This window comes from Homo sapiens, chromosome 12, assembly GCF_000001405.40.
Source record: "Homo sapiens chromosome 12, GRCh38.p14 Primary Assembly".
Lineage (NCBI taxonomy): Eukaryota > Metazoa > Chordata > Mammalia > Primates > Hominidae > Homo > Homo sapiens.
Window position 1 is genome coordinate 89,146,870 of NC_000012.12, and position 15,573 is coordinate 89,162,442.

The 15,573-nt window shown below is 37.6% G+C and overlaps 1 annotated feature.

Annotated features, from left to right (window-relative positions):
• Window positions 13,834-13,893: an enhancer, noted in NCBI's record as "active region_6704". NCBI's record gives its function as "activates an Ori minimal core promoter by ATAC-STARR-seq in GM12878 lymphoblastoid cells {active_cell/tissue: GM12878}" and the evidence as "EXISTENCE:reporter gene assay evidence [ECO:0000049][PMID:35858748]".

The window sequence follows — 15,573 nt, forward strand, 5'->3', positions numbered from 1 at the left end:
AAGTGACACAGTAACAAATTGGAGAACATATTTGCCAAATGTAGAAAATATTAACGTTCAAAATATATAAAGAATTAAAGAAGTAAAAGGAAAACAACCCGAAGAAAACAAAAAAGACAGAAGACTTAGGCAATTCACAGCAGAATTCTATATGATCAAAATATTAAAATCTCTCACTAATAATTAAAGAAATAAAATTCAAAACATTAAGAGAAATTTATTTCTATCAGATTAATTATATTCACTTTTGCTAAGGGTGTTCATAAATAGAAATTTTCTTACAATGTATTTGGAAATATAAATTCATGTATAATGTATGGAGGCCAAGTTGACAATGCCTATAAATAATTAAAATGTATATGCTCTTTGTCCAAGAAATTCCACTTCTGGGAATTTATCCTATGGTTATAAATATGAAAATCTATGAACAACAGTTTCTTATATCATTTTTATATTAGTAAAAGTTGGAAACAGTCTAAATGTCCTTAGATAGGGAAATAGTTGAAAAAATTGCAATTAAGCTATAAAATGGAGTATACTGTGATATGGCTTGGCTCTGTGTCCCCAACCAAATCTCGTCTTGTAGCTCCTATAAGTCCCATGTGTTCTGGGAGGGACCCACTGTGAGATGATTGAATCATGGGGGCGAGTCTTTCCCGTGCTGTTCTTATGATAGTGAATGGTTCTCACTATCCGATAGAGATCCGATTCTTTTAAAAACAAGAGTTTCTCTGCACAAGCTCTCTCTTTGCCTGCTGCCATCCACATAAGATGTGACTTGCTCCTCCTTGCCTTCCACCATGATTGTGAGACCTCCCCAATCATGTGGAATTCTAAGTCCAATTAAACCTCTTTATTTTGTAAATTGTCCAGTCTTGGTATCTCTTTATCAGCAGCATGATGGATGAATTAATACACACTGCAACAAGACTATTTCTCAAAATTATATGCATACATGTGTAGGACATGAAAACATGTCCCAAAATACATTGTGAACAAAAATTAAACTGTAGAACAAAATGTACGATTTATTCCAATTAGTGCGAAAACATTATATATGTGTGTTTATGTCTTTGTTATGTATCTAGAAAGAAGGCCTAGAAGATATCAACCAATCTACTAATAGTGATCTATTAAAAGGAGAAATTAATTAAAAGCATTGAGGGAGAGGAGGGCATATTCTAGGTAACATTGCTTGAGAAGACAGAATTATCTTGAGACACCTGTTTGCAGATGACATGATTGTATATTTAGAACACCCCATCATCTCAGCCCAAAATCTCTTTAAGCTGATAAGCAATTTCAGCAAAATTTCAGGATAAAAAAATCAATGTGCAAAAATCACAAGCTTTCCTATACGCCAATAACAGACAAACAGAGAGCCAAATCATGAGTGAACTCCCATTCACAATTGCTACAAAGAGAATAAAATACCTGGGAATACAACTTACAAGGGATGTGAAGGACCTCTTCAAGGAGAACTACAAACCACTGCTGAATGAAATAAAAGAGGACACAAACAAATGGAAGAACATTTCATGCTCATGGATAGGAAGAATCAATATCATGAAAATGGCCATACTGCCCAAGGTAATATATAGATTCAGTGCCAACCCCATCAAGCTACCAATGACTTTCTTCACAGAATTGAAAAAAAAACACTTAAAAGTTCATATGGAACCAAAAAGGAGCCTGCATTGCCAAGACAATCCTAAGCAAAAAGAACAAAGCTGGAGGCATCACGCTACCTGACTTCAAACTATACTACAAGGCAACAGTAACCAAAGCAGCATAGTACTGGGACCAAAACAGAGATATAGACCAATGGAACAGAACAGAACTCTCAGAAATAACACCACACATCTACAACCATCTGATCTTTGACAAACCTGACAAAAACAAGAAGTGAGGAAAGGATTCCCTATTTAATAAATGGCACTGGGAAAACTGGCTAGCCATATGTAGAAAGCTGAAACTGGATCCCTTCCTTACACCTTATACAAAAATTAATTCAAGATGGGTTAAAGACTTAAATGTTAGACCTAAAACCATAAAAACCCTAGAAGAAAACCTAGGCAATACCATTCAGGACATAGGTATGGACAAGGACTTCATGACTAAAACACCAAAAGCAATAGCAACAAAAGCCAAAATTGACAAATGGGATCTAATTAAACTAAAGAGCTTCTGCACAGCAAAAGAAACTACCATCAGAGTGAATAGGCAACCCACAGAATAGGAGAAAATTTTTGCAATCTACCCATCTGACAAAGGGCTAATATCCAGAATCTACAAATAACTTAAACAAATTTACAAGAAAAAAACGAACAACCCCATCAAAAAGTGGGCAAAGGATATGAAGAGACACTTTTCAAAATAAGACTTTTATGCAGCCAAAAGATACATGAAAAAATGCTCATCATCACTGCTCATCAGAAAAACGCATATCAAAACCACAATGAGATACCATCTCACACCATTTAGAATGGCGATCATTAAAAAGTCAGGAAACAACAGGTGCTGGAGAGGATGTGGAGAAATAGGAACACTTTTACACTGTTGGTGGGACTGTAAACTAGTTTAACCATTGCGGAAGACAGTGTGGTGATTCCTCAAGGATCTAGAACTAGAAATACCATTTGACCTAGCCATCCCTTTACTGGGTATATACCCAAACGACTATAAATCATGCTACTATAAAGACACATGCACACGTATGTTTATTGCGGCACTATTCACAATAGCAAAAACTTGGAACCAACCCAAACGTCCATCAATGATAGACTGGATCAAGAAAATGTGGCACATATACACCATGGAATATTATGTGGCCATAAAAAATGATGAGTTCATGTCCTTTGCAGGGACATGGATGAATCTGGAAACCATCATTCTGAGCAAACTATCACAAGGACAGAAAACCAAACACCACATATTCTCACTCATAGGTGGGAACTGAACAATGAGAACACTTGGACACAGGGCGGGGAGCATCACACACGGGGGCCTGTTGTTGGGTAGGGGGCAGGGGTAGGGATAGCATTAGGAGAAATATCTAATGTAAATGATGAGTTAATGGGTGCAGCAAAGCAACACAGCACATGTATACTTATGTAACAAACCTGCACATTGTGCACATGTACCCTAGAACTTAAAGTATAAATTTAAAAAAAAAGAAGGGAGAAAAAGATACAGATTTTTATAATGTTGCACTTTTACCCTAACTTTACCATAGGAAACAAGAGTTCAACCTTGATCATAGATGGCAACTCACTCCCCATGTCAAAGAGAAATTAGAGAACTATGTGAAAGAGTATATAGGTGTTTTATCACACTTAGCAGATAATGTGTTTTTTACAAATTGAAAGTTTGTGGCAAGCAAGTCTATTGCTGCCATTTCTCCAACAGAATGTGCTTACTTTGTGTCTCTGTGTCACATTTTGATAATTCTTGCAATATTTCAAACTTTTTCATTACTACTACATCTTCTGTTGTCATCTGTAATCACTGATCTCTGATGTTACTACAGTAATTGTTTTGGGTACCACAAACCATGCCCACGTAAGATGGCAAACTTATTCAATAAATTTTGTGTGACATCACTAATCATCAGGGAAATGCAAATTAAAACCACAATAAGATTCCACCTTACTCCCACAAGAATGGCCATTATTCAAAAGTCAAAAAACAATAGATGTTGGCATGGGTGTGGTAAAAAGGGAGTGCTTATATACTGCTAGTGGGAATGTAAATTAGTAAAAGCTTTATGGAAAACAGTATGGAGATTTCTTAAACAACTAAAAGTAGATCTACCAATTGATCCAGCAACCCCCCTACTGGATATCTACCCAAAGAAAAATAACTCATTGTATCAAAAAGACATCTGCATGCATATGTTTATTGCAGCAGGATATGGTTTGGCTCTGTGTCCCCACCCAAATCTCATCTTGCAGCTCCCATAATTCCCACGTGTTGTGGGAGAGACCTGGTGGAAGATGATTGGATTGTGGGGGCAGGTCTTTCCCATGCTATTCCTGTGATAGTGAATGGGTCTCAAGAGATCTGACAGTTTTAAAAAATGGGAGTTGTCCTTCACAAGCTCTCTCTTCGCCTGCTGCCATCCATGTAAAACATGACTTGCTCCTCTTTGCCTTGCTTGTGAGGCCTCCCAGACATGTGGAACTATAAGTCCAATTAAACCTCTTTCTTTTGTAAATTGCCCTGTCTCGGGTATGTCTTTATCAGCAGCATAAAAACAGACTAATACATAGCACAATTAACAATTGCAAAGATATGAAGTCAACCTTAAGTGCCCATTAACCAATAAATGGATAAAGAAAATGTGGTATATATACACCATGGAATACTACTGAGCCATAAAAAATAATGAAATAATGTCTTTTGCAGCAACTTATTCTAAGTGAAGTAACTCAGGAATGGAAAACCAAATACCATATACTCTCAAGTGGGAGCTAAGCTAAACGTATACAAAGGCATACAAAGTGACTTAATGGACTATGAAGACTCAGAATGGGGAGGGTGGAAGGCCAGTGAGCGATAAAAAACTACATATTGAATACAACATACACTACCCACATGATGGGTGCACTAAAATCTCAGACTTCACCACTATACAATTCATCCATGTAACCAAAAACCACTTACACTCCAAAAGCTATTGAAATAAAAGAAAAAGAAAAATATATAAATAAAAATAAAACAAAATAAAATCAATGTTTTGTGTGTTCTGACTGCTCCACTAACTGGCTATTCCCACATCACTGGCCCTCTTCTCAGGCCTCCCTGTTTCCTGACGCACAGCAACATGGAAATTAGGCCAATTAGCAACTCAACAATAGCTTCTAAGAGTTCAAGTGAAAAGAAAATTTGCACATCTCCACTTTAGATCAAAAGCTAAAGATGACTAAGCTTAGTTAGGAAGGCATGTCAAAAGCTGAGATAGGCCCAAAGCTAGGCCTCTTACACAAACAGTCAGCCAAGCTTTGAAAGTAAAGAAAAAGATTTTGAAGAAAATTAAAAGTGCTACTCCAGTGAATAGCCATAGATTAAAAAAAAAGACAGAGAACCAGTCTTATTGCTGATATGGAGAAAGTTTTAGTGTCCTGGATAGATCAAACCAGCTACAACATTCCCTTAAGCTAAATCTAATCCAGAGCAAGGCTCTAACACTCTTCAGGTTCTATGAAGGCTAAGAGAGGTGAGAAAGCTGCAGAAGAAAAGTTTGAAGCTAGCAGAGATTGGTTCATGAGGTTTAAGGAGAAAAAGCCATGTCCATAATATAAAAGTGCAAGGTGAAGCGGCAAGCACTGATGTAGAAGCTGCAGCAAGTTATCCAGAACTAGCTAAGATAATTGATGAAGGTAGCAACACTAAATAATAGATTTTTAATGTAGATAAAATAATCTTCTACTGGAAGAAGATGCCATCTATGACTTTCATAGCTAGAGAGAAGTTGATGCCTGGCTGCAAAGCATTAACGGTCAGGCTGACTCTCTTGTTAGGGGATAATGCAGCTGGTGACTTCAAGTTGAAGCCAATCCTCATTACCGTTCTGAAAATCCTGGGGTCCTTCAGAATTATGCTAAATCAACTCTTCCTGTGCTCTGTAAATGGAACAACAAATCCTGAATGAAAACACATCTGTTTACGGCAAGGTTTACTGAATATTTTAAGCCAACTGTTGACACGTACTGCTCAGAAAAAAATGATTTCTTTAAAAATATTACTGCTCATTGACAGTGCACCTGGTCACTCAAGAGCTCTGATGGAGACATATAAGAAGATTAATGTTGTTTTCATGCCTGCTAACACAACATCCATTTTGTAGCTCAGGGGTCAAGGAGTAGTATCAACTTTCAAGTCTTATTATTTAAGAAATACATTTCATAAGGCTATAGCTGTCATAGATAGTGATACCTCAGGGGTTGTATTAGTCCATTCTCACACTACTAATGATGCAGGATTTTTCTTCCTGGTCACTTTGCAAGCCAGGGACTTCTGGCCAGCAATGCCCTGCCTGGGTCCCCACTCAGCCATAAAGGCATGCCCCAGCTCGCCTGTGTTATAGCTTGGACCCACGTTCAGTGGTTTCCAAGCTCATATACCACACCCAAGAAGAATGAGGATGCTTGAAATTGAAGGATGAGGAAGATGGAATAATTTTATTGAGCGATGAAACAACTCTGAGCAGAGATGGGACGCGGGGGTGGTCCTCCTACCCAAAGACAGTGAAGTCCCCCATGTGGCTGGGTCCAGTGCCTTTTATGTACTCAGAATAGTGAGTGCATGCTGATTGGTTTGTGAATGTGCAAAAAAAAAAAAAAAGGTTAAAGCAAAGACACCACTCAAAGGTGGGCATGACAGTGTAGAAAACCAATTAGGAAAGGGTAGGTGCATTTAAAATAGGTGAAAGGTGGGGATCAGAGGAAAGAGCACCAAATGGGAAGACAAGTTCTCAATGCCAGTCCAAGGATTTAACTTGTAGCTTGGCTATCAGGCTTTAAACTGTCTTTGGGTTAGAGGAAGTAACTGTAGATGTGGTGGAATAGCAAGAGAGCTAGAATTAGAAGTGGAGTTTGAAGATGTGAGTGAACTGTTGCAATCTCATGATAAAACTTGAAAGGATGACAAGTTGCCTACAATGGATGAGCAAAGACAGTGGTATCTTGAGATGGAATCTACTCCTGGTCAAGAAGTGGTGGACATTGTTGAAAATGACAACAAAGAATTTAGAATATTCCATAAATGTAGTTGAAAAACAGCAGCAGAGTTTGAGAGGATTGACTCCAATTTTAAAACAAGTTCTATTGTGGGTAAAATGCTATCAAACATCAGAGCATTCTACAGAGAAATTTTTCATGAAAGGAAGAGTCAATCCATGTGGCAAACTTTACTGTCTTTTTTTTTTAATTTAATTTTATTATTATTATACTTTAAGTTTTAGGGTACATGTGCACAATGTGCAGGTTAGTTACATATGTATACATGTGCCATGCTGGTGTGCTGCACCCATTAACTCGTCATTTAGCATTATGTATATCTCCTAAAGCTATCCCTCCCCCTTCCCCCCACCCCACAACAGTCCCCAGAGTGTGATGTTCCCCTTCCTGTGTCCATGTGATCTCATTGTTCAATTCCCACCTATGAGTGAGAATATGCGGTGTTTGGTTTTTTGTTCTTGCGATAGTTTACTGAGAATGATGATTTCCAATCTCATCCATGTCCCTACAAAGGACATGAACTCATCATTTTTTATGGCTGCATAGTATTCCATAGTGTATATGTGCCACATTTTCTTAATCCAGTCTATTGTTGTTGGACATTTGGGTTGGTTCCAAGTCTTTGTATTGTGAATAGTGCTGCAATAAACATATGTGTGTATGTGTCTTTATAGCAGCACAATTTATAGTCCTTTGGGTATATACCCAGTAATGGGATGGCTGGGTCAAATGGTATTTCTAGTTCTAGATCCCTGATGAATCGCCACACTGTCTTCCACAATGGTTGAACTAGTTTACAGTCCCACCAACAGTGTAAAAGTGTTCCTATTTCTCCACATCCTCTCCAGCATCTGTTGTTTCCTGACTTTTTAATGATCGCCATTCTAAATGGTGTGAGATGGTATCTCATTGTGGTTTTGATATGCGTTTTTCTGATGAGCAGTGATGATGAGCATTTTTTCATGTATCTTTTGGCTGCATAAAAGTCTTATTTTGAAAAGTGTCTCTTCATATCCTTTGCCCACTTTTTGATGGGGTTGTTTGTTTTTTTCTTATAAATTTGTTTGAGTTCATTGTAGATTCTGGATATTAGCCCTTTGTCAGATGAGTAGGTTGCGAAAATTTTCTCCCATTTTGTAGGTTGCCTGTTCACGCTGATGGTAGTTTCTTTTGCTGTGCAGAAGCTCTTTAGTTTAATTAGATCCCATTTGTCAATTTTTTCTTTTGTTGCCATTGCTTTTGGTGTTTTAGACATGAAGTCCTAACTTTATTCTCTTAAGAAATTGCCACAGCCGCCCCAATCGTCAGCAACCACCACCCTTATCAGCCAGCAGCTGTCAGCACTGAGGCAATACACTCTACCAGTAAAAAGATTATGATGAGCTGAAGGCTGGGATGACTGTTAGCACTTTTAGCAATAAAATGTTTTAAATTGAGGTATATACATTTTTTTAGATATAATGCTATTGCACACTTAACAGACTATAGTGTAAACACAACTTTTATGTGCCCTTCAACTTCAGTGTGAAGCCAATGCTCATTACCATTCTGAAAACCCTAGAGTCCTTAAGAATGATGCTAAATCTACTCTGTATGTGCTCTATAAATGAAAAAACAAAGCCTGATGACAGCACATCTGTTTACTGCATGGTTTACTGAATATTTTACGCCCTCTGTTGACAACAAAAAATTCATGTGACTCAATTTATTATGGTGGTCTGGAACAGAACCTGTGGTACTTCCTAAGTATGCCTGTTGTTCATGGCTATTGGAAATGGGATGTGAGTGCCACTGCTCAGCTCCAGCCTCTTGAGGCCACACAGAAACTTCAGACCCAGTTACACAAGATCTCTTCATTTTTCAAGAGAAGCCAGAAATTTAGATTTTTGGCTTTGGTGTTGAGGATACATTTAAAAATTTCTAAACACTCTGTAGAGGCAGACAAAACATATCCAATAGTCAGACAGAACCTGTGTACTCTGGCTTGGACCTCCCCTCAACACTTACCCTAAAATAATTTTGTGTGTGTTTATGTTGGAGGGGGAGTGAACAAATCAATCACATAATGTTATATAGAGAGAAGAAGAAATAGAAAGGAGAAGAATGTCAGCATTAGTTCTACTAAAATTTGAGTTCGCATGGTTTCTTCTTTCATCCTCTAATTATAAATCAGTTGCAATCATTTAAAATACTTATAGTAACTTCACCTCATTATGAAATCTATCATGGTGAATTTTATAAATGTATTACATGATATCCAAGATAATTTTGTTGGACTCAAACTTCTCAAAACACCAGAAGAACATTTTTAAGAAATCACTTCCATATATTCAAATTCTGGTGTCAAGTTTACTTGCTTACTTGGTAGAAGGGATCCTTTTATGAACTCAAGTAAAATGCCCATCAGACTGACTCTTTGTGGCTAACCTAGGGAATTTGCTTATTTCCTCTTTCCTAGCCTGCACTGTATTGTGTAGGAGTTATCAAAATCTCACCTTTGCCAAGGTTTCACTCCCAGCACTCTTTAAAAAGAAAATCCTTAATTAATTTCTGATTGAAAAGGGGCATGTTTACAATTCTTCTTTAAATAAGCTTCTTATATATTTAAATAAAACCTGGTACTCAATTTATCTTTCTAAATTTCAGTTGGTCCAACTGACCCAAACTTGACAACAGAAAGAACAACTCTAAAAAGAATAGCTATTCTTCATCACTGGCCAACTGTTTAAATACATACAAAGTATCTTGGATCAGTCTCCTATAATGGTGTTTAATAACCAGATTTTCTGACAGCCCACAAAGAATACAAAGTTTTATTTTCTTAATAATGATACCATGTCTGTACGATGGTGAAATAGGAAGGGTTTCAGTGACTCAGTTTTGTAAAACACAGGAAAACAAAAGACCAGTGGGCACCAGGAAACTAAGTAAGACCTATAAACTTCCCTATTTCAAAGAAGCAGAAACACTAAGAAATGGAAGCTAAGGCTCATATCCTTCAGGGAGGACTTCAACTCTCTGATCTTTCAAGTCAATGTTAGCTTTTTGATATTGATGAAATAAATGATCAAGTTTCAATATAGCAAAGTCTTAGTTATATGCCCTGATGGAGAGATCAAGGTGACATGGACAAACCAAATGGGAAGGAATCAACAGAATATTTTAAAAGAATGTGTTTGGCTCTGGCAGGAATTTCATGCTTTCATGTAGTAGCTTCATAACTCCTTTCCTAATCAGGTTTGGATTGATTTAAATAAAAATTAGTTTCTGTTTCCTGAGCCACTGAAAGCAGAGAGATGACTTAGAACATTCTTCTGGCCAAAATTATTGCAGCTTAACCAAGGGCAAGCAGTAAGATAGCATCCCACGCTCAGATGATCTGGAGCTCAATTTAACACACATTCTGCTTCAGAAAAATCCAAAATTCATGACTAAGAGAACTTAACCCAAAAGCAGTGGCATCACCTTCCTTTACTCCCACTGAGTGAAAATAAACTGGAGGATGGCTAAGCCCCAAAACAGTGAGTTGCTAATCATCATAGTTATCATACTTCTTTTGGAGGAAATGAGATTTAATCCAATGCCTGCATGTGCCTTTTCAGGAAATTGCTCATCTGTCTAATTAAGCTCTTCTTTCTTCACAAGCCTGTGAGTACATTCAGACACATGGCTTCCAGAAAACCTTTTTGCCCTTTTTCTGTTGGTCATTGGAAATTTCTAATTGGTAATTGGAAATCTCCATTTTAAGGAGATTCCATCACTTTGTATTAATCACTGGTTAAACTTCATTGACACTGTTTAGAAAGTGCCATTTCCTATTAGGAAGCACTTTTGAATGAGCACAAATTAAAAAAACCTCAGAGACTATGCAGGTGGGTTTACGACCTTGTCACTAGCATAAAGCATCTAACTGCTCAGAGACTCCAAGTATACATGTGCTCAGGCAAGCATGTTTCAGCTTGTTTATTTGTTTCCCAGCGAAATAGCCATTGTACTTTGCCCTCTGCCCTTTTCATATGATACCACAGGGAACCTGCCCTGTGTCCTGGCTTCCACCAATTAACCTTGCTTTATTTCCTGTCCTTGCAAAGTTAGTACAACCCACTTCACTTCCACCATAATCATTTTCCATTTCCTTCCTTCCAAGCCAGGTTCTTCATTTCTACCTCAATTAAAGAAAAATTGTAACATTTATGAAGTCCTGTGTCAGATCGTGCGAAGATGAAACAAAATAAGACAAGGGTTTTGCCCTCAAGGAGCTCGTGATGCAGTGGGAAGTAAAATACAGCCTCAACCCAAAACCCCACATTCAACTGTGATGGGAGCAAGGAAAAAAAAGTCCTGTTTAACATGTTTAACAGTGTGTGAAGGAAGCAATCAAGAAGAAGCAAGTGTCATTCTTCTCTCTGTCTGTGAAAAAAATTTATTATTACTTTAAAATGCTTTTCTGCTTTGCAAATAATGCTATTCACACATGTGGCCATACATATGTCAAGAGGGAAGAGAAGGGATTTACCAAGCATGTTTGTCCTTTTCCACTGACCTGTTGTATCTAAAATACTTATAGAAAGGAAAAGTTGTCCTTATTTATTAAGTTATAATCACATAGAATATAATTATAAATGACATTAAAAGACACAAAAATGACAATATTGAAGTCAACTGAAGCTAAGGCTCATAAAGCATAATATACCTCTCAAAAAGCATAATATACCAATAACAGAACAGGCCTGAAACCCAAATTTCATTCAGATTTACCAACCCTTTAGCCCACTTTGAATCAAAACTACACAACCTCTTAGATCTGTTGAAAGGCATCACAATATAGATAACTATAAGCCTTCAAGCAGATCTCTGGATTCAAGATTTAACATTCCAGCAGTACTGGAATGCTTTCAGCTCTATTCATGCACACCAAAATGGCTGGAAGAGGATTTAGTTGATCTATGTGCATGCAGCCAGGAGCCTGTGGGCTCCTCACATCTGCTACATTTATAGGTTGAGAACAGATCCAGGCAAGGTCAGTTCCATGTAATTCAAACATTTGAGTTCAGGAAGTCATTATTTGAACATGCATTATGACCATCCAACAATTACATGGTGGCCTGAGGAAGCCAAAATTACTGTATTACAAAAATATTCACAAAGGGCTGACTGATCTGTTATAATACTAGTCACCACTTACCCCCCTCCACTGAACACTGGCTTGTATCCCCACCCATCACAACACTAGCAATTCTAACCAATGGTATGAATGTCATACACATTAGATCAAACAATTCAAAGGCAAACCAAAAGATTGCCAAGCAAAATGGCAAACATCGCAAAACTTGTAGGATTTCATAAGGCTAACAGTAATGTTGAAAAACGTGTTGGATCACACACACACACACACACACACACACACACACACACACACACACACACGCATAAGCCAAATAAGCTAACAGAGGTAGACCTACTGAATAATAAATAGGAAATCAGCAAGGATGCTGATGTGATAGGCATGGCAAAAAATATATATCTATATATGAATAAAAAAGGATTTTAAAAGGCCCTTAAGGGCCAGTCACGGTGGCTCATGCATGTAATTCCAGCACTTTGGGAGGCCAAGGTGGGCAAATCACTTGAGGTCAGGAGTTCGAGACCAGCCCGGCCAACATAATGCAACCCAGTCTCTACTAAAAATACAAAAATTAGCTAGGCATGGTGGTGCATACCTGTAGTCCTGGCTACTGGGGAGGCTGAGGTGGGAGTATTGCTTGAGCCCAGGAGGTTGCAATGAGCTGTGATGCCGCCATGCACTCCAGCCTGGGTGACAGAGTAAGACCCTGTCTCAAAAGAAAAAAACAAAAATAGAATGCAATTCAAGAAATCAAAAAAGTCATTGGGAAAATTAACAAAAAAAAAAGTCCCTTAAGAAAACTAACAAAGTCCTTACTTTACTTACTTCAAAAAGCACCCTCATTGTGGCCACATTGTCAAAGTCATACATATATTAAATGAGGATTTCCATATTGCTATCATATATTTTTATTCAACAATTAAGCCAAAAATGAGTGATCAGCATTTGATTCATCTGTGTTTGTTTCCTTAAAGTGCTAAGTATAATTTAACCTAATTTAAATATAATAATAAACAAATTATGAGATTTAGTTTCCCTTTGAAGATATAGGCCCAATCCCCTTTATTTTCATTATTCTTAAAATATTATAAGTGGATTCATTTTCAGGAACTTTATGTATATAAGTATTTTATGTACATAAATTTTTCTTGGGTAACGAGGAACCATTCACTGCTCCAGCCATGGTCCTTGCCCCAGAGAAGCATCTAAAAACCTGCAAGCCTGCATCATCAAGCAAGTCATAGTTGAGCTCTATGACATCAACAAGTGCAGAGGGATTCTTCTGAACCCTATGCACACATAACCATGGTTAATTAACTTAGTGCTGATGGCAGAGTTTGCCCCTTGCTTTAAATTAGGCTTTTCCTTTGATTAAAATGAAGGGCTTAGCCCACTAAATTTATTTTCCCAGGAGTAATGAAAGAACATCTGTCAAAGAAAAAAAAAGTCTTTAAGTGATGAATGCTAAGTAATGCACCTCAGGTAGCTAAAGATGCTCAGTTGAAGAGATCAACTGCAATGCTATGAGACACATATTAGCATGAGAGGATCCTGCCCGAAATTAGTCTTATACACAGATAAAATACAGCCTCCACCGCCCTAAATGTTCCAGTCCTCTCACCATAGCAAATTTGCTGAAACTCTATTGGAAAAGAACGTCTCCTTCTACCATAAGTTACAAAGCTCTCCATGGGAAATAATTTTATCTCATCCCTTTCCTCTGAGGAGCTGACCTTGTACAATATCAGGAGCCCAGATGTTTTGGAGTCAGACAGGCAGATCTTAAATCCCACCTTTGTATTTATAAGCTGTGTGATTTGGACATGTTTTCTACCCTTTCAAAGCCTCAGTTTCAATCTCTGTGATACCCAAATAATAAAAAGCTGTCTCATGGAGGCAAAGGGACTAAAAACTTAAGCAATGACTCAAGAATGCCCAATAATGTGCTTCATAGTAGACACTTAAAAAAAAAAGTTAGTTCCCATCACTTCCCCAATGCCAAGAAAGACTATGGGGAAGCATAACCCCTCTGGCACCTGGTGGGAAAGGAGGAACTGAAAGGGGATAAAGGGAGTGTAAGAGGAAATGGAGAGGGTGACACACAGACTAACTTCACCAGCACCGCCCCCATGCTCTCATTTCACCCGGGGCCAGTCTTAATCTCACATGGAAATGAGGGATAAGATATCTGCGTGTCAGACAGAAAGTACAAATTCAGTGCATCTGACTCAGAAACTTGGCAAAGATGCCGAGAGCAGATAATAAATATAATCACCCTGATTTAATTCAGATGGAGACCTCAGGGTTCGATCACTTCCAGCTGAGAGGTTCTCCTGTCATTGGAGGGAAGCCTGCTCTGACCTACCTGTGACAGTTGCTAATGGTTTTCTAAATTAGTGTCAAATATGATCTTATGAAGGAGTCATTTTTCCTTTAAGATGGTTTATGAAAGGAGTTTTCTGCCAGCACTTTGAAAAACAGAGAAATTCAACCAAAATCTGGTCAATGTTCATGTTGTTCTTCTATTTCAAGACCTGAGCACTTTCAACTACAATCAGTCAACAAATATTTATTAAGTCTGAAAATATTTGCTGTGTCAGGCACTGTGGGTGATGGAGAAGAGGTGGAGTGCATGGATTCCACTCTCAGTGAATTTTCAACCAGCCTACCTCTACAAAGTGATTGACCAATGAGACAAAACCAAAAAATCTATACTCAAGTGATAGTATACAAGAATGACCCCTGCCTCAGAGAATTGTGATGAGCTTCAAATATACCAATAGCGCAAACAGACATACGGACATGTGTGTTTCACAAATTAGTTATCCTACCCCCTAGAAAAAAAAAAAACAGAGAAATGTGAAAGCCAAGACAGCAGGGAGTCACAAAGATCAGGCTATCAACTATAGATGCTATAGAGATTTTGACAAAAAGAATGCCACTATTGACCTTTTAGAGAACTGCTTCTGGAGGGTGATGAAGATCAAAGCCAGTTAATGCAAAGAGTTAGGAAAGGGAAGCACAATTTCGCAAGTATAGCCAATAGGCGTAAATGACACATTTGAGAGGCTTGGGAAGGAGGATGAAGGGAGAAAACTGTAGCGTTTGGTGAAAGTTAGTCTGCTTATTTTTTAAGAAATGGAACTCTGTTTAAATAGCAGGTTTCTCTAGTAAGAGGGTAAAAATTAAAATGTTCTAGAACCTACCATAACTCTAACCTGATGCCAACAGGACAAGTACATGGTCTTGTGTCTCCAAGGAACTCAAAGATAGGTGGAGAAATTCTTTTACCTTTTAATCAAACAGTTCTAAAATAAAAATAAAAATAAAAACTTGCTTCCCTGGGATTTTTTAAAAAATAGCTTAGTTTATTTCATCAGCATTCTATAAAACAAAATAGAGACTGATCTGTTCTATCTGCAAAAAACACAGTTAAGGTACTTTTGACTAGGAACCTATTAATCCTTATTATATTTATTAAGAGTTTATACTTTAAGTCAATAATGACTTATTACATTGGCTTATTACAGCCCTCTTATCACCAAGTAAATGGTATAGGAAGCATAAAAATGTTAATGACAAGGCCTTTGCTCTCAGGAGGTTTTTTAACTCAATAGAGAAGACAAAAAAAATGTATAAATAACTTGCAGATAAAGGGCACTGTGACCAATTTAATAAAAGACTAAAGATATTCATTAAGAGAAGAAA